Source organism: Homo sapiens, chromosome 1, assembly GCF_000001405.40.
Source record: "Homo sapiens chromosome 1, GRCh38.p14 Primary Assembly".
NCBI lineage: Eukaryota > Metazoa > Chordata > Mammalia > Primates > Hominidae > Homo > Homo sapiens.
This window is the reverse complement of record NC_000001.11, coordinates 110,894,008-110,918,214: the sequence shown is the minus strand read 5'-3', so window position 1 is coordinate 110,918,214 and position 24,207 is coordinate 110,894,008. Positions and strand designations below refer to the sequence as shown.

The 24,207-nt window shown below is 39.3% G+C and overlaps 2 protein-coding genes across 7 annotated transcripts in view; one reads left to right on the top strand and one right to left on the bottom strand.

Moving 5' to 3' along the window:
• The window catches only part of LRIF1 (ligand dependent nuclear receptor interacting factor 1), an 88,966-nt gene that overhangs the window by 45,708 nt on the left and 19,051 nt on the right, over positions 1 to 24,207 (top strand). The gene's annotated exons all lie outside the window — the stretch shown is intronic.
• CD53 (CD53 molecule) overlaps positions 18,293 to 24,207 on the bottom strand; it is a 28,713-nt gene continuing 22,798 nt past the window's right edge. For 2 of the 6 annotated variants that reach the window (NM_001040033.2, NM_000560.4), the window contains 5 exons: positions 23,814 to 23,888; positions 23,160 to 23,255; positions 21,482 to 21,562; positions 20,323 to 20,406; positions 18,293 to 19,091 (listed from right to left, as the gene is read on the bottom strand). In NM_001040033.2, coding sequence (NP_001035122.1) covers positions 19,020 to 19,091; positions 20,323 to 20,406; positions 21,482 to 21,562; positions 23,160 to 23,255; positions 23,814 to 23,888 — 408 coding nt within the window. In that variant the 3' untranslated portion in view covers positions 18,293 to 19,019. The remainder of the gene's footprint in view (positions 19,092 to 20,322; positions 20,407 to 21,481; positions 21,563 to 23,159; positions 23,256 to 23,813; positions 23,889 to 24,207) is intronic. The other 4 variants (XM_047435014.1, XM_047435013.1, NM_001320638.2 and 1 more) reach the window with 4 other exon arrangements.

Genomic DNA, 24,207 nt, shown 5'->3' with positions numbered 1-24,207 from the left:
GGCACCTCATCATTAAGCAAGGTGTTTGTTGCAGAGTTTAGGATTTCTTTTGGTTTTGTATGTGTGTGTATTTATGTTTGTGTAGTGGAGGGGAGGTAGGTGTTTTTAGATACCTTTTATAAATTTAAGAAAGTCAATTTTTAAAGTAATTTTGTTAAAAGTTTTTAATTTTAAATTTCATTCAGTGCATTTTGATATATTAAGATAATCTTACATATTTAATCTATCAATGAATTAAATCACATTTAATGATTTTAAAACTAATGTTTTTAATTTCTGAGACAAAATTATTTGAGCATAAAACACCATTTATATGTTGCTGAACAAATTCTGTTAGGATTTTGTTTAGGATTTGTATGTTATGAATAAGATGGTGCTATAATTTTCCTCTCTCATATTGTTCTTTGCAAGTTATAGATCTCAAACTAATCCCAGTCCCTTACCTATATCACCCCTTAGCTGATCTAATTTTTTTCCATAGCACATATAACTTTATAACATACTATACAGTTTAACTGTTTACTACAGCTATTTTTTTATGTTGACCTCTCTCCAAAAAAAAAAAACAAAAACAAAAAAACAAAAAAAATAAGCTCCTTAAGGGCAGGGATTTTTGTTATGTGCATTGATATATGTCAAGCACCCAAATTCCTGGCATATCATAAACTTTGAGTAAATATTTTAAATAAATGAGTTGAAGACAGAGATTGTGGTACAAATTACCCTATGCCCCTAATTGTGGTCAGTTTCTGCAGATGTTTCACATGCACTTGAATATACAAATACACACATAACTTGTTACATAAATTTTACTTACACAATTTTGGGAGCTGGTTAAACAATCTCTGAAAAGACATTGTCTTCCTGTCTGATGTTAGAGCTGGAAGTCTGCAGGGTAAGCAATTGGGAAGGAAAGATGGATGTAAATTGGGAGAGAGTGGCAACAAGTAGGAACCAACTAATGTAAGTTGGAATCTATGAGGACACACGAGCCCCTGTCAGTTCTCACTGCTCCAATAATGGATAATGTAGGTGTCCTGCAGGAGAAACTTTGTCCTGATGCTAAACATAACTCTGGCTCAGGAGTAGGAGAACCTGAAGGAGGATCCAGGAGAAGGGGAAACAATTGCTAGACTGGCTGCTGCCCACACCCACAAGGTGAGTCAGCAAATATGGTGACTCTGCCCTGAACTCGCTAGTGTAAAAAACATGACTGCAGTTTCACTATCATCCTCCAAATCTCATGTGAAAATATGTCTTGTGGCACACCCTAAGCAGGAAACATAATTTAGTTTAGACAAGTTGGACAAAGTCACAGCAGGAGTTTACAAATTTGAAGTTTTATTTTTTTCCTTATGAGTTGACAGTTTTCTCATTATAAAGTGACCCTCTTTATTTCTATAAATGCTGTTTGCCTTGAGGTCTATCTAATACAGCTTCATTGGCTTTTATTTGGTTAGTGCCTGCAAGACATATTTTTCCAACTATTCACTTTCAATTTCAGTATCTTTATGTTTTAGAGTATCTCTTATAAAGAGCATATATTGGAATTTATTTTTTAAACAGACAGTTTGGGGCAAGTTTTGTCTTTTTTATTTGTACATTTAGAATATTTACATTACTTATAATTACTAAGATGTTAGTGTTGACTCTTCTTATTTTTATTGCTTTCTATTTTCCAATCTTTTCAATATTTCTTTTTTGGTATCATTTTATATTACTTTGACCGAATTAGGTTTTACTTTTTATCATTTTTGAGTTTTATATGTTGTTTCTCTGCATTTACTGATTAGTTCATGTAACCACACATATTTAATATTAGTTGATGTAATGTGTTATTCGACCCTACAAGTCTAAAATTAATCAATATGTTCATCTTCTTTCCAGCAATAAAATTACATTTAAGCACTTTAACTTCATTTGCCACCTTTCCTGTGTCTACAATACTCTTAACTTTGCAAGATATTATTATTGTTGTTTATAAAGTCAAAATATATTTAGATTATTTATATATTTATCATTTTACCAGGCTCTTCATTTTTTTCTGGTTTCAGACTTTTCATCTGGGATCACTTTCTGCCTAAAGTACATATTTTAGAATTTCTTTTAGTGAGTAAAGGAAATTCCTTTACCTGCTCTTGATAAACACATTCAGTTTTTGTTTTTTTGAAGGTCTACATTTCACATACATGCTAAAAGATATTTTCCACCACGTGTAAAATGTTACATTGACATTTATTTTCTCCTACCACATCGAAGATAGGCAACAGTCATCAAAGATGTGCTGTTGTCAGTCAGGCATCTACTACTAGCTGTTGAGAAGACAGTTGACAATCTGTTGCTTTTTAAAAGTTAATTTGTCTTTTTGTTCTCACAGCTTTTATTATTTTTTAAATTTTTTACCCTTGTGTGACATAATATCTAAAAAATGAATAAGACATAAATAGCATTTGAACAAGTAGTGATAAAAGAAACACTGGCCTTGTGTATAACACCCGGATCAAGAATGAAACATTACTGGCATCCCAAGAGTTTCCTGCATATTCCTTCACAATCACCACTTGTTCTCCTCCTCCATGGATAGTCACTGTTCTGACTTTATGATAGTGACTTTCTTCCTTTACTTTGTGCTTTTGCTGTTGGTGAGGGTATCCCTAAATAATACGGTTTTGTACATTTTTGAACATAGTAAGTAAATTTATTTATTTATTTATTTATTTATTTTTTGAGACGGAGTCTCGCTCTGTCGCCCAGGCTGGAGTGCATTGGCGCTATCTCGGCTCACTGCAAACTCCGCCTCCCGGGTTCACCCCATTCTCCTGCCTCAGCCTCCCGAATAGCTGGGACTACAGGCGCCTGCCACCGCGCCCGGCTAATGTTTTTTTCTATATTTAGTAGAGATGGGGTTTCACCGTGTTAGCCAGGATGGTCTCGATCTCCTGACCTCGTGATCCGCCCGCCTCGGCCTCCCAAAGTGCTGGGATTACAGGCTTGAGCCACCGCGCCCGGCCGTAAATTTATTTTATAGCCTTTTTATTGTTTAATATTTTATTTGTAGGATTCATCTATGTTGTTAGAAATATTTGTAGCTTATTTTTACTATGTACTATAATTCCTTACGTGGCTGTACCATAATTTATTTGCCCATTGTAAGTTTATGATAATGTGGATGATTTCTAGTCACGGGTAGTTAAAAATAATGCTGCTACTGACATTCTTATACTTTCTTTTGGTGCACATAAACATGCATTTATGTTGAGTATATACTTAGGAATGGAATTGTTGGGTCATATCTTCAATTCTACTATGTAATGACATACTGTGGTGAAACATTGTTGTACCATGAAACATTTCCACCAGCAGTTAATCAGGTTTCCTGAGGCTCCATATCCTTGGTAAGATCTGTATTATTTATATATCTGATCTTTTAATTATTTTTCTAATCTGATCAGTATTTTTTTAGAGACGGATTCTGGCTGTGTCACCCAGGCTGGAGTGCAATGGTGTGATCTCGACTCACTGCAACCTCTGCCTCCTGGGTTCAAGTGATTCTCCTGCCTCAGCCTCCTGAGTAACTGGGATTACAGGTGCCTGCCACCACACCCAGCTAATTTTACGATTTTTGTAGAGACGGGGTTTCACCACGTTGGTCAGGCTGGTCTCAAGCTCCTGACCTCAGATGATCCACCCACCTTAGCCTCCCAATCTAATCAGTATTTTATTGTGGTTTTTGTTTGCATTATCCCAGTGGCTGATGAGTTTAATCAGTTTTACATATTTATTAGCTGTTTAGATTTCCTCTTCTTTGAATTGATTCTTCATGCCTTTTGCCACTTTTCCTTTTGGATTATCTGTCTTTTTCTCATTTATTTGTAGGAGTTGTCCCTTTTTTTCTTTCTCAACTTTTATTTTAGGTTCAGGGGATACATGCGCAGGTTTGTTACATGGGTAAATTGTGTGTTGCTGGGGTTTGATGTACAAACAATTTTGTCACCCAGGGAGTGAGCATAGTACTCACTAGGCATTTTTTTGATCCTCACCTTCCTTCAAGTAACCCTTCACCCTCAAGTAACCACGGTGTCTGTTGTTCCTCTCTGTGTCCATGTGTACTTAATGATTAGCTCCCATAAAAGAAGTGAGAACATGCAATATTTTGTTTTCTGTTTCTGCATTATCCTAAGCAAGTCTGCTTAGGATAATGGACTCCAGAAGCATCCATGTCGCTGCAAAGGACATAATTTTGTTCTTTTTTATGGTTGTGTTGTATTCCATAGTGTATAAGTACCACATTTTCTTTATCTAGTCCACTGTTGATGGGCATCCAGGTTGATTCCATGTCTTTGCTATTGTGAATAGTGCTGCAATGAACATACAAGTGTGTGTGTCTTTTTGGTAGAACAATTTATATTATTTTGGGTATATACCCAGTAATAGGATTGCTGGGTCGAATGGTACTTCTGTGTTAAGTATTTTGAGAAGTCTGTAAACTGCTTTCCACAGTGGCTAAACTAATGTACATTCTCACCAGCAGTGTCTAAGTGTTCCCTTTTCTCTACAACTTCACCAACATCTGTTGTTTTTTGACGTTTTAGTAATAGCCATTCTGACTGGCGTGAGATGGTATCTTTTTTGATTTGCATTTCTCTAATGATAAGTGATGTTGAGCATTTTTCATATGGTTGTTGGCCACATGTATGCCTTCTTTTGAGAAGTGTCTGACCATATACTTTGTCCATTTTTAATGGGGTTGTTTTCTCCTTGTTAATTTAAGTTCCTTATAAATTCTGAATAATAAATTTTGTCAGATGTATAGTTTGCAAATGTTTTCTCTCATTCTGTAGATTGATCGTTTCTCTTGCTGTGCACAGGTACTTTAGTTTAATTAGGTCCCAATTGTCTATTTTTGGTTTTGTTTCAGTTGCTTCTGGGCACTTTATCATGAAATCTTTGCCAAGACCTATGTCTAGAATGGTATGTCCCAGATTTTCTTCTAGGGTTTTAATTATAGTTTTACGTCTCACATTTAAGTCTTTAATTTATCTTGATTTGATTATTGTATATGGTGAAAGAAAGAGGTCCAGTTTCAGTCTTGTGTATATGGCTAGCCAGTTATTCCAGCACCATTTGTTTAATAGGGAGTCCTTTCCCCATTGCTTGTTATTGTCAAACATCAGATGGTTGTAGATGTGTTGCTTTATTTCTGGATTCTCTATTCTGTTCCATTAGTCTGTGTGTCTGTGTTTGTACCAGTACCATACTGTTTTGATTACTATAGTGTTGCAGTATAGTTTTAAGTCAGATTGTGTGGTGCCTCCAGCTTTGTTCTTTTTGCTTATGATTGCTTTGACTATTTGGGCTCTTTTCTAGACCCATGTGAATTTTAGAATAGTATTTTCTAATTCTGTAAAAAATGACATTGGTAGTTTGATAGAAATAGCACTAATCTACAAATTGCTTTGGGCAGTATGGCCATTTTAACAATATTGATTGTTCCTATCTATGAGCATGGAATGTTTTTTGCATTGGTTTGTGTGGTCTCTGATTTCTTTCAGCAGTGTTTTGTAATTCTTTTTGTAGAAATCTTTCACCTCCGTGGTTAGCTGAATTCCTACATATTTTATTATTATTGTGGCTATCATGAATGGGATTACATTCCTGATTTGGCTCTCAGCTTGGACATCATTGGGGTATTGAAATGCTACTGGCTGGGTGCAGTGGCTCACACCTGTAATCCCAGCCCTTCAGGAGGCTGAGGCAAGTGGATTACCTGAGGTCAGGAGTTTTAGACCAGCTTGGCCAACATGGTGAAACCCCATCTCTACTAAAAATACAAAAAGTAGCCACATGTGGTGGTGCATGCCTGTAATCCCAACTACTTGGGAGGCTGAAGCATGAGAATCGCTTGAACCCAGTAGGTGGAGGATGCAGTGAGCCAAGATCATGCCACTGCACTCCAGTCTGGGCGATAGAGCCAGACTCGGTCTAAAAAAAAATAAATAAGTAAAGGAAAGAAAGAAAAAAAAGAAATGCTACTGATTTTTTTACATTGGTTTTGTATCCTAAAACTTTACTTGTTTACCAATTCTAGGAGCCTTTGGGCAGAGACTATGAATTTTTCTAGGTATAGAATTATATTGTCTATGAAGAGAGATAGTTTGACTTGTTCTTTTCCAGTTGGGTGTCTTTTATTTCTTTCTCTTGCCTGATTGCTCTGGATGGAATTCCAGTACTATGCTGAATAGGAGTGGTAAGAGTGGGCATCCTTGTCTTGTGCTGGTTCTCAAGGGGAATGCTTCCAGTTTTTGCCCATTAGTATGATATTGGCTGTGGGTTTGTCATAGATAGCTCTTAATATTTTAAGGTACATTCCCTCATTGGCTAGTTTTTTGAGGGCTTTTAATATGAAGGGGTGTTAATTTTTATCAAAAGCCTTTTCTGCATTTCTTGAGATGATCATGTGGTTTTTGTTTTTAGTTCTGTTTATGCGACGAATCACATTTACTGATTCGTATATGTTGAAGCAAACCTTTTATCCCAGGGATAAAGCCCACTTGATTGTTTGGTAGATTACCTTTTTGATTTGCTGCTGGATTCAATTTGCTCGTATTTTGTTGAGGATTTTGTGTTTGTGTTCATCAGGTATATTGGCCTTAAGTTTTCTTTTTTCTTTTTATCTTTGCCAGGTTTTAGTATGAGAATGATGCTGGCCTTGTAGAATGAGTTAGGAAAAAGCCCCTCCTCCTCAATATTTTTGAGTAATTTTAGTAGAATTGGTACCACCTCTTCTTTACATATCTGGAAGAATTCAGCTGTGAATCTTTCTGGTCCAGGGCTTTTTCTGGTTGATAGGGATTTTAAAAAAATAACTCATTAAATTTTGAAACTCATTAATTGATCTGTTCAGGATTTCAGTTTCTTCCTACTTCAGTCTTGGGAGGTTGTATGCTTCTAAGAATTCATCCATTTCTTCTAGGTTTTCCAGTTTGTGTGCATAGAACTGTTCATAATAGTCTCCAGGTTTTTTTTTTCCCTGGGGGGTTGAGGGTAGCATAAACTTTATCATTTCTTATTGTGTTTATTTGTATCTTCTTATTCTCATTTATTAATCTATAGTGAGCTACTGTTCCTGTTTATTCTTTTGGTGGACCAACTCTTGCCTTCATTGATATTTTGTGTGAATTTTCACATCTCAATTTCATTTACCTCAGCTCTGATTTTGGTTATTGCTTTCCTTTTGCTAGTTTTGGAGTTGGTTTGTTCTTATTTTTCAGTTTCTCTAGGTGTGATCTTAGGCTGTTAATTTGAGACCTTTCTAACATCTTGATGTAGATATTTAACACTATAAAATTTCTCCTTAACACTACTTTAGCTGTGTCCCAGATATTCTGGTATGTTGTATTTTTGTTTTCATTCATTTCAAAGAACTTTTTCAATTTTTGCCTTAATTTGATTCTTTACCCCAAAAGTCATCAGGAGCAGGTTGTTTAATTTTCATGTAATTATGTGGTTTTGAGAAATCGTCTTGGTATTTATTTCTATTTTTATTGCACTGTGGTCTTAGAGAGCATGGTTGGTATGATTTTCAGGTTTGTTTTGTTTTGTTTTGATTTTTTTGAGACAGAGTCTCACTCTGTTGCCCAGGCTGGAGTGCAATGGCACGATCTCAGCTCACTCCAACCTCTGCCTCCTGGATTCAAGCGATTCTCCTGCCTCAGCCTCCCAAGTAGCTGGGATTACAAGCCTGTGCTGCCATGCCCAGCTAATTGTTTTGTATTTTTAGTAGAGACGGGGTTTCACCATGTTGGCCAGCCTGGTCTTGAACTCCTGACCTCAGGTGATCCACCCACCTCAGCCTCCCAAAGTGCTGGGATTACATGCGTGAGCCACTGTGTCCGCCCCAGGGATTTTTTTTTTTTTTTTTTGAGAATTGCTTTAAGACCGAATGTGTGGTTGATCTCAGAATATGTGCCATGTGTAGATGAGAAGAATGAATATTCTGTTTTCAGGTGGAGCATTCTGTCGATGTCTGTTAGGTCTGTTTTTTTCAAGTGTCAAGTTTAGATTCTAGATATCTCTCTTAGTTTTCTGCGTTGATGATCTGTGAAACTGTCAGTGGAGTGCTGAAGTCTCCCACTAATATTGTGTGGTTATCTAAGTCTCTTGGTAGGTCTCTAAGAGCGTGCTTAATGAATCTAGATGCTCCAATATTGGGTGCATGTATATTTAGGATAGTTAAGTCTTCTTGTTGAATTGAACCCTTTATCATTATATAATGTCCTTTTTGATTGTTGTTGGTTTAAAGTCTGTTTTGTCTGATATAAGAATAGCTACCCCAGCTGGGCGCAGTGGCTCACACCTGTAATCCCAGCACTTTGGGAGGCAGAGGTGGGTGGATCACCTGAGGTCAGGAGTTCGAGACCAGCCTGACCAACATGGAGAAACCCCGTCACTATTAAAAATACAAAAATTAGCCAGGTGTGGTGATGCATGCCTGTAATCCCAGCTACTTGGGAGACTGAGGCAGAAGAATCACTGGAACTCGGGAGGCAGAGGTTGCGGTAAGCCGAGATCGCGCCACTGCACTCCAGCCTGGGCAACAAGAGCGAAACTCCGTCTCAAAAAAAAAAAAAAAAAAAAAAAAGCTACCCCTGCCCTTTTTTGTTTTCTGTTTGCTTGATAGATCTTTCTCCATCCCTTTACTTTGAGCCTATATGTGTCATTGCATGTGAGATGACTCTCTTGAGGACAGTATAGAGTTGGGTCTTGCTTCTTTATTCAACTTGCCACTCTGTGCCTTTTAAGTGGGGTGTTTAGCCCATTTACATTCAAAGTTAATATTAATATGTGAGAATTTTATTCTGCCATTATGTTGTTGGCTGGTTGTTATGTAGACTTGATTGTATAGTTCCTTTATAATGGCAGTAAGCTCTATGTATTTAAGTGTGTTTTTGTGGTGACAGGTATTAGGCTTTCATTTCCATGTTTAGCCCTCCCTTAAGGACCTCTTGTAAGGCAGGTCTGGTGGTAACAAATTTTCTTAACATTTGCTTGCCTGAAATGGATTTTATTTCTCATTTGCTTATGAAGCTTAGTTTGGCTAGATACGAAGTTCTTGATTGGATTTTTTTTTCTTTAATGATGCTTAATATAGGCCCCCAACCTTTTCTGGCCTGTAAGGTTTCTGCTAAGAGGTCCACTGTTAGCCCTTGTACATGACCTGCCCCTTCTCTCTAGCTGCCTTTAAGATTTTTTCTTTCACATTGACTTTGGGGAATCTGATGACAATGTGGCTTGGGGATGGTCATCTTGCATAATATCTTACAGGGGTTCTCTGAATTTCCTGAACTTGTGCGTTGACGTCTCTAGAGATGTTGGGAAAATTTTCGTGGACAATATCCTTAAATATGTTTCCAAAGTTACTTGCTCTCTCTCAATCTCTTTCAAGAATCCAATGAGTTTGGTCTCTTTTACATAATTCCATATTTCTTAGAGGTTTTGTTCATTTTCTTAAAATTATTTTTTTTTATTTTTATCTGCTTGTATTGATTCAAAAGAATGGTCTTTGAGTTCTGAGATTCTTTCCTTAGCTTGGTCTATTCTGATATTAATGCTTCCAATTACATTATGAAGTTCCTGTGCTAATTTTTCATTTCAGAAGTTCAGTTTGGTTCTCTCTTAAAATGAATATGTCCTCTCTCAACTCTTGAACCATTTTACTGTTTTCTGTGGATTGAGTTTCAACCTTCTGTATCTCAATGAGCTTCCTTGACATTGAGATTCTGAATTCTATGTTATTTCAGTCATTTCAGTCTGGTTGAGAACCATGGCTGGGGAGCTAGTGTGATCATTTGGAGGTATGAAGACACTCTTGCTTTCAGAGTTGCTGGAGTTATTGCACTCGCACTTTCTCACCTGTGTAGGCTGATGTTCCTTTAATCTTTAAAGTTATTGTCTTTTGAATGGGGCTTTTTGCTTTTATATTCTTCACCATCATGCCCAGACTCCCCAAAGCTTTCTATATTTGTCTTTTACATCTAAATATTTAATTCACTTGAAATTGATTTACGAATTGCTGTGATGTGAGATAGGAATCAAAACTTGTTCTTTTTATATAGAATTTCTGTTTTCCCAGGAACATTTGTTGAAAAGACCCTTCTTTTATCATCTCTCTGAAAGGTCACCGTGATATAAATCAAACATATTAGCATTTTGAAATATAAACAAGTTGGGCACTAGTTAAAGCAGTAAAGGCAAATTGTATTCAGTAATAACTATTGCAATAGGGGAGAGAACCACATGTCATCTTAGTTCAACTCTGTTGAAACAAAAGGCAAGAGATTTTTTAACATCTAGAGTATGCTAATGGTAAGGTGCTGAAGGATGTTAAAGTGGGTTGGTGTGTGTGAGTGGGCCATCTGGGTTTACTAACTGGCACTTAACTGGAAAAGAAAAAAACTTCTCAAAACTTTTTTTGTGTGTGTGAGATGGAGTTTCACTCTGTCACCCAGGCTGGAGTGCCGTGGTGCAATCTCGGCTCACTGCAACCTCTGCATCCCGGATTCAAGCAATTCTCTGCTTCAGCCTCCTGAGTAGCTGGAATTACAGGTGTGTACCACCAAGCCCAGCTAATTTTTTTTGTATTTTTAGTGGAGAGGGGGTTTCACCATCTTGGCCAGGCTGGTCTTGAACTCCTGACCTCGGCCTCCCAAAGTGCTGGGATTACAGGCGTGAGCCACCGCGCCTGGCTCAAATCTTAATCACAGGAGGCAGTGGTGGAAGTTGGAGCAAGATGCCCACCAAAATTAAGTCCTTATCCTCCCACAGAGACTGACAGTAAGTTATCTACCTTAATGTTTGCATTTCTAAAATCTCTGAGAAGAAAATTCTGGTAGAACATTTACATCTCAAAGGGTAGCAAAAAATATATAATTGCAAGCCTTCTAAAGTCAATGTTTTAAGAGGAGGTTCAGGGATCTACTTACGTATCACCAGGTTTTGGCTGGAACAAACAGGAAATTATCCCATCATTTTTGAGCTTTCTTAAAGCTCAAAAGGGGGATTTGGCTATTTTTCAAGACACGACCTTAGGCTGCTAGAAGCCATGCTAGAGTATGGTCAGGTCTCTTAGTGCAGGGGTTTGGACTGAGTTGTTATATGCTGAGAGTTCTTTTGTACTTCTCAGCATGGGGCCTCTTTAAGAACTCTAATATATTCTACTGGTCTGTTTAACCTGTCCCTGAAACAACATAAACTATTATAATTTCCATACTATTGTAATAACCTTAAAATATGTATCAATATTTTTAAAGTAAGTTCTCCAACTTGGTGTTTTTTCTTCAAGAGCATCCCAGTTGTTTTGACCTTTTGTATTTACATGTAAATTTTAGAATCAGCTTGTTCAAGTTCCATTAAAAAAGTTTGTTGGGATTTTTTTTTGAGACTGCATTGAATCTATAGCCCAATTTGGAAAGAATGGACATATATAAAATATTGAGTCTTCCTATTAGTGAGTATGATAGTTTCCTGTGGGTATACATCTTCAGGATATAGCTCTCTTCTTTAGAATTCCAATCAAATTAGAATATTTTCTGTGTAAAGGTCTTGTACATCTTTTTCAGGTTTATTTATTTATTTTTTTGATGCGATCATAAATGTTCTCTGTCTCTCTTTTGAGACAGGATCTCACCCTGTCACCCAGGCTGGAGTGCAGTGGTATAATCGTGGCTCACTGCAGCCTTGAACTTCTGGGCTCAAGTGATCTTCCTGCCTCACCTTCCTGAAGAGCTGGGACTACAGGCATGAGCCACCACGTTTGGCTTTTAATTTTTCTTTGGTAGATATGGGGTCTCGCTATGTTGACTAGGCTGGTTTCAAATGCCTGGCCTCAAGCAATCCTCTGCTTCAACCTCTCAAAGTGCTGGCATTATAGGCATGAGCCACCATGTCTGTTGTCTCTTTTTTATTTTATGTTTCTGGTAAGTAGAAATACAGTTGGCTTTAGTATATTGATTTTATACCCAATAACATTGCCAAAATCTCTTATTAATTCTTACAGTTTATCTGTAAATGTTTACATTTTATCTAGTTGTTTTGTGGTCTTCTCTTCCTTCTTTCTTTCTTGTCTTCCTTTAGTGAAGATTTTTCTCTGATGATATGATTTAGTTTCTTGCTTTTTATTCCTTGTGCATCCATCATATGTTTTTGCATGAGACTTGCAAATACTATCTTATATCCCATTATTTTAACCTGATAACAACTTAACACTCTCTGCATTTAAAAAAAGCAAAAAGAAAACTAATAAAACCTCTATGCCTTAACTTCATCCTTCTGCTCTTTAACTTTTTGTTGTTTTTACTTATATCTTATTGTACTGTCTATGTCTTAAAAGTTATTGTAGTTATTATTTTTGATTTATTATTTAGTCTTCCTACTTAGGATAAGAGTAGTTTATACACCACAGTTACAGTGTTATAATATTCTCTGTCTTTTTGTGTACTTACTATTACCAGTGAGCTTTGTATCTTCATATGATTACTTATTGCTCATTAACATCCCTTTCTTTCTGTTTGAAGTACTCCCTTTAGCATTTCTTGTAGGACAGAACTGGTGTTGATGAAATCCCTCAGCTTTTGTTTGTCTGGGAAAGTCTTTATTTTGCCTTCATTTTTGAAGGATATTTTTGCTGGTTATACTATTCTAGGGTAGGTTTTTCTCCTTCAGCACTTTAAATATGTCATGCCACTCTCTCGGCCTGTAAGGTTTCCACCGAGAAGTCTGCTACCAGATGTATTGGAGCTCCATTGTATGTTATTTGTTTCTTTTCTCTTGCTGCTTTTGGAGTCCTTTCTTTGTCCTTGATCTTTGGGAGTCTGCTTATTAAATGCCTTGAGGTAGTCTTCTTTGGATTAAGTCAGCTTGGTGCTCTATAACCTTCTTATACTTGGTTATTGATATCTTTCTCTAGGTTTGGGGAATTCTCTGATATTATCCCCTTGAATAAACTTTCTACTTCTATCTCTTTCTCTACCTCCTCTTTAAGGCCAATAACTCTTAAATTTGCCCTTCTGAGGTTATTTTCTAGATCCTGCAGACATGCTTCCTTGTTTTTTATTCTTTTTTTAAATCTCCTCTGACTGTATTTTCAAATAGCCTGTCTTCAAGCTCACTAATTCTTTCTTCTTCCTGATCAGTTCTGCTACTAAAAGATTCTGAAGCATTCTTTAATATGCCAATTGCATTTTTCAGCTCCAGAATTTGATTCTTTTTAATTATTTTAATCTCTTCATTAAATTTATCTGATAGAATTCCTAATTCCTTCTCTGTGTTACCCTGAATTTGTGTTTCCTGAAAACAGTTATTTTGAATTCTGTCTGAAAGCTTGCATATCTCTGTTTCCCCAGGATTGGCCCCTGCTGCCTTCTTTAGTTTTTTTGGTGAGGTCATGTTTTCCTGGATGGTGTTGATTCTAATAGATGTCCTTTAGTGTCCGAGCATAGAAGAGTTAGGTATTTATTGTTGTCTTCACTGTCTGGGCTTGTTTGTACTTGTCCTTTTTGGGAAGGCTTTTCAGATATTCAAAAGGACTTGAGTGTTGTAATCTAAGCTGTATCTGCTTTAGGGGCACCTCGAGCTCAGTAATACTGTGGTTCTTATGGACTCATAGAAGTACTACTTTGATGGTCTTGGATAAAATTGGGGAGAATTCCCTGGATTACCAGGCAGAGAATCTTGTTCTCTTCCCTCACTTTCTCCTAAACTAAGGGATTCTCTCTCTCTTTCTGTTCTGAGCCATCTAAACCTGGGGATGGAGTGACACAAGCACGCCTGTGTCACTCTATGACCACCACTATGACTGTGCTGGGTCATACCTCAAGCCAGCACAGCACTGAGTCTTGCCCAAGGCCTGCTGTAACCACTCCCTGACTACTGCCTATGTTCACTTAATGCCCTGGGGCTCTACAATCACAGATGGCAAAGCCAACCAGGCCTGCGTCCTTCTCTTCAGAGTGCCAAGTCCCTCTAGACCCTGGGTGGTTCCAGAGGTGCTGTCTGGGAGTCAGGGACTAGAGTGGAAAACCTTAGAACTCTAGCTGATATTCTATTGTACTGTGGCTGAGCTGGCATTCAAACCATAAGACTCAGTTTTCCCCACTCTTCCCTCCCCTTTCCAAAGGAGAGGAGCCTCACCCTGTAGCCACTACCACCACAAGCCATAGGGAGTACTGCCAGACTACTGCTAATGTTCCTTTAAGGTCCAAGTACTCATAAGTCAGCTTGTGGTGAATGCTGCCTGTCTTGGGACTCACCCTTCAGGGCAGTGGGCTCCCTTCTGGCCCAGGGCAGGTCCAGAGATGCCGTTCAAGAGTTGAGTCCTGGAATCAGGGACCTCAGGAGCCTACTTGGTGCTCTATTCCCCTGTGCCCATGCTGGTACTTAAGGTGCAAGACAAAGTCTCCTTTACTTTTCCCTCCGCTTTTCTCAAGTAGAAGGAGTTTCAGCCAATAGCCACCACAGCTAGCCATGTGCTGAATCTCATCTGAAACAAGCAAGTCTCAGAGGGTCACCCAAAGCCCTGGACATAGTAACTTGGTTTCACTGCTGGTTATTCAGAGCCTAGGGGCTTTTCACTTAGCAGGTGATGAATGTTGCCAGGACTGGGTTCTTCCCTTCAAGGCAATGGATTCCCTTCTGGCCCAGAGGTTGTCTAGAAATGCTATCCAAGAGCTAGGGCCTGAAACAGGGACCTTACAACTCTGACCGGTGTCCTATCTGCTGTGGCTGACCTGGTATCCAAGATGCAAAACAAGTCCTCCTCTCTCTTCCCTCCCCTCTCCTTAAGCAGAAGGAAGGTGTCTCTTTCGAAGCTGTGAGCTGTGCAGCCTGGGGTTAGGGGAAGGGTGATGCCAGCACTCTCTTAGCCACCCCAGCTGGTGTCTTAGTAGGTCACATGCCCCTCCCAGTCCACTGTCTCTGGGCCTGGTTCAATGCTAGGACTTACCTAAGATTTGCAATCCTTATGGCCTAGACTGCCTTCCAAGTTTACTTAGAAACACATAGCACTGTAGCTGTTGGTGATGAGGTTTGCAGGAATTCAAGTTTTGACAATTGGAATTGGCGATTTCCCTCTGGTTAGGGCTGATTTAAATGCTCCCTCCATGGGCAGGCACCAGCAGAGTTTGGTCCAGTTTCCTTTCTGCTCTAACGGGATGGTACTGAGTTCAGTGCCACACAATTGCTGTGTTCTCCCTCCCCCGGCACCCAGAGACACTCTCCGCATCATGCTGCTGCTGCCAGGGGTGGCATTAGAGATTCAAAACTGTTTTACTCACCTCTCCAGCATGACTTTCAGTGATACCAACTTAACAGCAGGTCCTATGAGGACTCACCTAATTTTTGGTTCATACGAAGGTGGTTTTTTGTGTTAGACAGTTGTTAAATTGGTGTCCTTGGATGGGGAGGGGAAACTGGTATTCTATTCCACCATCTCGCTATACCTTCTATCTTTTGTTTATAATTCAAGGAACACATTGTTATAACTTTTATGAAATCAGTGGTCATTTATATTTTCCACATATTTACATCTTCTCTTTGATCCTTCTTGTATTTCAGACGTTCCGAGATCACTGTTTTTAATGCCTGAAATTTATTCTTTAGAATTCTTTCTTTCTTCTTTCTTCCTTTCTGTCTGTATTTCTTTTTTTTTTTTTTTTTTTTTTTTTAGTGATTGATTTAGTTCGATTTGATCACTGTAAGCAAGTGTTAGCATGCTGTTAAGGGATGTTTCTTGCCTTTGTTCCACAAAGCCTTATTATGAAAGGTTTACATATACCCATTTAAAAGGTAAATCTAAGCATGCTTCTTTTAAGATGCACTATGTGCTGTATTATTTTGGTGAGTAAAACAAAATGAGAATGGCAAGAGGAAGGCTGGAGAGCTAAGAGTGAGCCATCTCATGTAGGGCTTGACAGCTATAATAAATAAAAAATCTAGACTTTATCCTAAGAACAGAGTCATTGAAGAGTTTCAAGCATAAAAGTGTCATTATTACATTTATGTTTTAGAAATATTACTTTGGCTGCTATATGCAGAATGGTGTAGATAAGGGCCAATGGTGAATACTAGAAGAGCAGATAGTAGACTATTGAAGGAATACAGGCAAGTTAATGAAATAGGGAGAATTAATGAATTTGGTGATACTTGGTGGGTGAATCCTCAGAGCTTCATGACTGACTGTGACTTGTTTTTGGGAGTAAAGGACAGGCTAGAGTTAAAGACAAAGCCTAGGCTTCTGGCTAGGAAAACTAGGTGGGTGATGTTATCACTCACTCATATGGGGAACAAAGAAGAGAAGCAGATTTGGAAGATAGAATGATAAGTTTCATTTTGTGCATGTTTAATGTGAGATACTTTTGAAACTTGTGATACTCAAGAGAATGTCTCACCGGGGACGGTGCCTCACGCCTATAATCCCAGCACTTTGGGAGGCCAAGGCAGGTGGATCATCTAAGGTCAGGAGCTTGAGACCATCCTGGCCAACATAGTGAAACCCTGTCTCTAGTAAAAATACAAAGATTAGCCAGGCTTGGTGGTGTGCACCTGTAATCCCAGCTACTCAGGAGGCTGAGGCAGGAGATTGCTTGAACTAGGGAGGCAGAGGTTACAGTGAGCCAAGATCAGGCCTCTGCACTCCAGCCTGGCCACAGAGTGAGACTCCGTCTAAAAAAAAAAAAAAAAAAAGGCCGGGTGCGAGGTGGCTCACACCTGTAATCCCAGCACTTTGGGAAGCCAAGGTGGGCAGATCACAAGGTCAGGAGTTCGGGACCAGCCTGACCAAAATGCTGAAACCCCATCTCTACTAAAAATACAAAAATTAGCCAGGCGTGGTGGCGTGTGCTTGTAATCTCAGCTACTTAGGAGGCTGAGGCAGGAGAATCACTTGAACCCAGGAGGTGGAGGTTGCAGTGAGCCAAGATTGCACCACTGTACTCCAGCCTGGGCAACAAGAGCAAAAAACTGTCTCAGAAAAAAACAAACAAACAAAAACAAAAAACAAACAAAAAAAAACAGAGAGAGAGAATGTCTCCTCTGCTACTTCTTTGTCTCAGGAAAATGCAAAAGTTGTAGGTTTTTCTACAGACTACCACTGAAATACTAATTTTTTTAAAAGGAGAGGGGAGATGATACATAAAACTTCAGGAACAGAAACCAGTTTTTCTCTATTCCTTTCTCTGACTTCTCTACATTTGGCTCCCTATTAGATATGGTCTTATTTTCTGCCTTACAAAGTGTGGTTATACGTAGATAATTAAATTTAGCTTATAGACAATTCAATTTAGCTTCTTTTTTTGACCAAACAAATATGGTGGGGTTGGCAACCTCTTAGATGACCTCCAGTGATCTCTATGTGCTACAGATTTATACCCTTGTCTATAATCTCCTTTTTTTTTTGTTTTTTTTTTTTTTTGAGTGTGAGCTGAACAATTCAACTCACTTTTTTAAAACAGTGTATGGCAGAACTGATGTGGTGGCACATCTGGGGTTATAAATAAAAACTGTGGCGTGGCTCATGCCTGTAATCCCAGCACTTTGGGAGGCTGAAGCAGGTGGATCACCAGAGGTCAGGAGTTCAAGACCAGCCTGGCCAACATGGTGAAACCCCATCTCTACTAAAAACACACAAAAAAATTAGTCAGGCATGGTGGCACACACCTGTGGTCCCAGTCAGGAGGCTGAAGCAGGAGAATCGCTTGAACTTGGGAGGCAGAGGTTGCAGTGAGCCGAGATTGTGCCACTGCACTCCAGCCTATGTGACAAAGCAAGTCTCCATCTCAAAACAACAACAACAAAAACAACAAACTGTGGCTTCTGTTTTGGGTGCCGAATCTCATGCCCTTTCTTGGATGTCTTTAAATGGGGGGAAGCCAGCTTCCATGTCATAAGGAAGCCCCGTGGAAAGGCACAAGTGGCAAAGATCTGAGGCTTGCCAACAGCGATGTGAGAGAGCCTGAAAGTAGATCCTCTTTCAGTTGAGCCTTAAGGTTACTGCAGCCCAGGCTGACATGTTGATTGCAGTTACATGAGAGACTGTGAACCAGAATCACCCAGCTAAGCTGCTCCTAGATTCCTGACCCACAAAAACCATGAGATAATAAATGTTTGTTGTCCTCAGCCACTAAATTTTGGAGTAATATTTTATGCAGCAGGAGACAATTAATACACCTGGTTTGGTGCATTAATCAGGGTAATCAGGCTGGGTCATGGAAGGAGTGTTTGATATATAGCAATGTTGTGATTGAGATAATAAACTTTTATTTATTGAAGAGTAAAATAGTACATTAACAAAATCTTATCTGATAGAGAGATAATACCAGAAGTCTTCTTACTGTGATTATCAGCTAAGTGACTGGTTGAAATCAGGATATAAATCACTGGATAGTTTTTTTCTGGAAAGACTTAGAACACATCAATAAGGCCCTCTAATAAAGAAATTGAAATGAGATCTTGCCCTTTGGAGAAAGAGAACTGTGTAATTCCTGTAGCCAGGGCACTTAGTCAAAGAGAAACAGAGGGTTGTGACAATGGTCCAGTGAGCCTGGCCCCAGAACTCCCTTCAACTAGTCTCTTGCTTGACTTTGGGGAGAAGACTGGGCATTATTTAGAGGCTGGAGACTAATTCGACAATGGGAAGATGCAAAAATTCATATCCTGGGTTCACCCTTTGATGTTGGGCCATTAAATCCAGTTTGTCTTTGCCTCTCTTGTCTAAAAGATGCTCAGATATTAGTTTCACCACTTTGAGAGACATGGCTGCTGCCGTCAGTGAGTGAAAGATTGTCTTGCTGCCTGAGATGGGATGTGCCTGGCCAACACCCACTTCTCTGGTTGTATAAGACAGGGACCTAAAAAGGGAAAGGATGGGAGGAGGATCATCCTGCAGTGATCATGTAGGGCTTCATGCTATAAATGGTTTTGCATTTCCGGAGATGAAACAAGTCTCTTCACCACAGGACTACTGCAGATCATAGCCCTATGGTCTGGCTGGTTTTGTCAATCTGGCAGTTCAGGGTCAGTGCAAAGGACATCCCCAACACCTGTGAAAAGAGTTGGGAAAATTTGAAGTCTTCATAAGAAAAGCCATTTCTTTCACAATGCCTGGGATTGGCCTCTGAGAAAAAGAATGTATCCATTACACTGAAACCACCCTTCCAACCATTACTTTCAAGTCTCTCTCAGGAGCTCTTTCCTTTGGTTAAAGAATAGCAGTGAGGAGAGAAACGGGGTCAATGATGACAAGATAACAGGCTGTAAAGTACTGGAGCATGTTTTATCTTCTGAGGAAGTCACAGAAGCCTTGCTGCTAGGATGGTCATATTCTGCTCACTGAACACTGTGCAATGAGTTATCTCTATCCATGCTCTGTGCCTCCTTTGTTTCCAAACAGAGAAAAATCATTTTCTCTGAGCTTCCTGATTGAGTTTTAACTAATCTATGATATACCCAACACTTTGGGTAGAAAAATGTTAGAAATATCACATTATTTTTGTCCTTTTTTATTAAAAAGGACAAAAAACTACCCTCAATTCACCCATCACTTGTCAAACTAAGCACAGAAACAAAGAGGAAATTGATTACAATTTTCGTCATCAGCCCCTTAACATGCAAGATCAGGTTTTCAAATGAAATACTTTATCAATTCGTATTTTTCAGACCAGCTGAGGAGGGATCACAGTGGGATTCTGCTTGGTGGCTTTTTTGTTTGACTGTGAATCATGTGAATCACTCATATCTCTGAGGAATGAATTGACCAGAGAGATGTTCTTTTTTTTTTTTTTTTTCTGGAGACAGAGTCTCGCTCTGTCGCCCAGGCAGGAGTGCAGTGGCACGATCTTGACTCACTACAAGCTCCGCCTCCCAGGTTCACGCCATTCTCCTACCTTAGCCTCCCAAGTAGCTGGGACTACAGGCACCTGCCACTACGTCTGGTTAATTTTTTGTATTTTTAGTAGAGACGGGGTTTCACCATGTTAGCCAGGATGGTCTTGATCTCCTGACCTCGTGATCTGCCTGCCTCAGCCTCCCAAAGTGCTGGGATTACAGGCGTGAGCCACCACGCCCGGCCAAGAGATGTTCTTATAGCACATTTTCTATATACCTTAAAGCAAATTGTTAATTACATTATTTGCTACTTGGCTGGGGGAATTCATATATTAGTAAAAATAGCTAACATTTATTGTGTAAATACTGTGTACCTGGTATTATTCTGAAATCTTACCTGACTTAACTCATGTAATCCTCACAATAACCCTGTGGTTAAGCTCTTACCTCAATCACACATACACAGATGGTGATGATTCCGATATACAGGAAATTGGAATGAAACCACAGTCTTGCTTTCGCATAGCAACCCTAGAAGACATTTCAGTTACAAATGATACTACTCTATAATTCCACCATATCAAGAGGAAGTATTTGGAAGATACAGTGCTTTGCATTTTGCTTTATGTAATACAAAGAGGCTTAGGTATTATATTTTTATTTTCTTTGCGTGAATGAAGAAACAGGCATAAGGTGGGAAATATTAAACTACAGACTTTTCTGGTGGTGTTATCATTACAGTGGTAACTAATGTAGAAGTCCTAGATCCTTACCCGCTGAGTTAAACTAGCTTCTAAGAGGCAGGTCAGCAACCGACGTCCTACTGTCTTTGAACACTCAGTGCTGACCAGAGATTAACATAGGGCATGCAATACTAAAATTGGTTTGCATTTCACTTTCTGCTTCAACATTCAGTAAATCCATCATAGCCCTACCAAGTGCCAGGGCAGTTGCTGGTCAGTGGTTGTCCTAGTCTTTCTCCACAAACCTGAAAAACCCTGGAGATTTCCAAACCCCTTCAGGAGCAGATAACATGAGGAGACAAGACCTCAGGGATTCGGTCTAGTTGGAAGATAGTTGTGGCTTCTTCTCAGAGCCTATTCTGGAGGTCCAAATTAATTGGACAGGTTGTTTCAGTAGTTCCACTAACTCTGTCTCCCTCAACTCCTTACTCCTTCACCTATGATTCATTTCCCTAAGGGGCTGGATTCTGCCATCTCCAAGGAAGAAGAGCAGAGAAAGAGGGAGAGGGAGAAACTTTTCTATCTCAACCCTATACATTTCACTTTAACCATAAGGAGACCTACTTCTTGCTTAAGAAATATCTAGACACAACCCTCTCCTACTTTCACACAAAAGTAACTGTTCCCCTCTAATGTAATAGTCTAGTGTAGCAAGATCAATCACAGTGTCTCTAGTCTAAATGAGTTTGTTTGTATGTTTTTCTGACTTTTCTAATTACCCAAGGTTGTTGCCCTGGCCTCTCTTTTATTCAAGGTCCCCTGTTTCTCAATAGAAGGTCTAGGTCCTCTATGACTGCAGTTTCCGAGGTAATTAAACATTTAAACAAAGAGGTCAATAACAGAAACATTGCCGACAAAATTACCTCCACTTTTCGATCTGAGGGGCAAGATGCTGGTGGGCCACTGGTCCAATCACTCGTGCCATTTATACCACAACACTGCAGCTAAAAGCCAAACCCCCAAAATGATGATGGTTAGAAAGTCAACAGTGAAAAAAAGCTGTGGACCTTAGAGGAAAAGGTGTGCCCTTCAGATCTGACTCTATAGCAGAAGTCCAGAATTGGTCTGATTGCTATGGGCTCCTTAAAACAAAGTGCTTTCTAATCTGTTATACCATTTCATTCACATAAGATCCCTGTGGAGTAGAGACCCCTGTGCTTAATCTAGTCACATTTTACAGATCAAGAATAAGGCACCCAGGGACTGCATAATGGAGGGATTAGGCTGACCACCCCTGGACCCACCAACCAATCTTAAGATCACAGAAAGGAGGACCATCAGACATTATGTACCTGCTTACACGATGCAACAGGAAGTGACAGCTATGGCAGTCTTACCACAAAACAAAAACCACATCAAACTTTTAAGTTCATGGGGCTTATGGGAGACAGAGACTCCCTGATACCAAAATACTCGAGGAAGCAACTAGCCTGATCTAGAGAGTGGAGAAGTCTAAAGGACAAATAGCCTAATTTCTTTCCACAAAGAGCAAGAACAAAGAGGTGTACTATTATAGATTAAAAGATAAATAGAGAGACCTATCATTCAAATATAAACACATAGGCCTTGTTAAGATCTTGATTTGAACAAGTCAATTAAAATTTTTTGAGAAAATTAGGGAAATTTAATTATAGACTTTATTAGTGGTATTAAGAAATTATAAAATTTTAGGTGTATTAAAAAGAAGTTCTTTTATATTTAGTGGGTGAAATAATATATTGTCTAGTATTTGCTTTAACATATTCTAACGAAAAAAGTGTGGGGAATTAGATGAGATGACACTGGAAAATGTTAACTATTGAAGAGTTGGGAGATTCATTTTTCTGTTTTTCTCTTTTGTATATTTCTAAAAATTATGTAATAAAAAGTTTTCTAAACTGAATTAAAAAAATAAAGAATTGGAGATCTAAATAAGTTAAGTGACTTCCCCAGGGCTACCCAATTCTGGTCTCCAGGCTCTAATTCCTGTGCCATTTCTTCTACTCCACACTAAGCCAGCGTGCTTTCATAGTGGTACTGTTTCGAGACACAAATAGATTATACTGGTGCAAGGCTCCATCTTTATCTCCCAACACATCATGTCAGGAATGCAGAGCTTGTATATGCTGTACATATACACGTTTGTGGGTGGAAACAGCACATGAGGAATGGGATGTTGGTGGGCTAGGTAACAAGCCTGATTTGGGCAACTCGGGAACTCAATGGCAATTTCTTGTGTTATACAATGCTGTTTTCAGTAAAATTTTGGAAAATACATAAACTAATCCAGTTTGCTGTGTTTGGGTCTTCTTCACATCCTAGCAGAACTTAGAAAATAAACCTATTCATGTTAGAAAAGGATGAAAGAGAGAATGTAGAGAACTTTGTACTAATCAGACTAATTACTGGGCTCCCATGTTTGTGATAGCCAAGGCATTATTCTGGGATTCAGGGATGTGGACCTTAGATTCTGAAACTTCCAGAAAAAGGAACTAGCCCCCAAGGATTTAGGCTTGAAAATGAAGTCTGGGCTGATCTGAAGAGGATTCCACCTGTACTCACAAATGACTGGATGGAGTCCCACGCTGCCTTGGTGCTATTGTCTGAGTGGTAACGGTGGATGCTGTCGGTCAGACCCTTAGCCACATACTCATTCAGCTGGGCAGGCACATTCCAGCAGAGGAGACATGGTAAAAAGCAGGTGAGTTCAAGGAATAAGGAATTTCCAGTATAGGTTAGTGGTTCCACTTGCGCTTCCCTTCCAAATGGTCTCCTCAGAACTAAGGGTGAGGGGAGGGTGTTTATCTATGGGCATACAGGCTGAGCATGAGGTGGCATTGAAGGAAGAAGTATTTAGTAGGCTTGCTTCCTTCTAGAGCTCTGGCTTTACAAGGGAGGAAAAGGAGCAATTAAAGCAAGGGCTATCCTTAGGCACTGAGGCAGACATTCTCTCCTGCCAAACACACAGAGGAAAGCAAGTAGAGGAAGAGACACTTGTTTTACTGCTCTTTCCAGGCACCCCTCAAGATACCACTCAGATACAATCTCTTTCATACAAATTTTCCCCCCAATTACAATTACTCTCTGTTTCCTCTATCCTTCCACTTCATTTCTATCTCTATTATAGAACTTATTCTGTAACTTTGTACCAACTTCTCCACTGCATACTCCCCACTTTCAGTATTAAGACAATAAGTTGTTGTCTTTATAACTTACCTTCTGTTCATATACAAAGAGCAGGATGGCCAAGGTCACCTCAGCAAGGAGGATAATCAGCAGCAGGATGAAGAACTGGGACAAAGCAGATACATTCTCACAGCACTGATCCCCATTCTCGTCCCACTCCCACTCAGCTCTGGGAGCATCCAGGGGCATTTGCACGAGTACAGGGTGTTCCTGTTCTGCCTCCTCAGGCCGTTGTAAGCCTTCTTTTGTTTTGTGAAAATATGTGTTCTTTTTCTACAATTAGACTCTAGAGGGCAGATCAACTGTCTTCTTTGCTCTCTCCTACCTGCTGTGCCTATCAGAGCACTACATGCATAATACATACACACCACCACCTGTTGAATAAGTTAAGCAATTTTGACATCTGCCTATTGAAGCAGTTAAG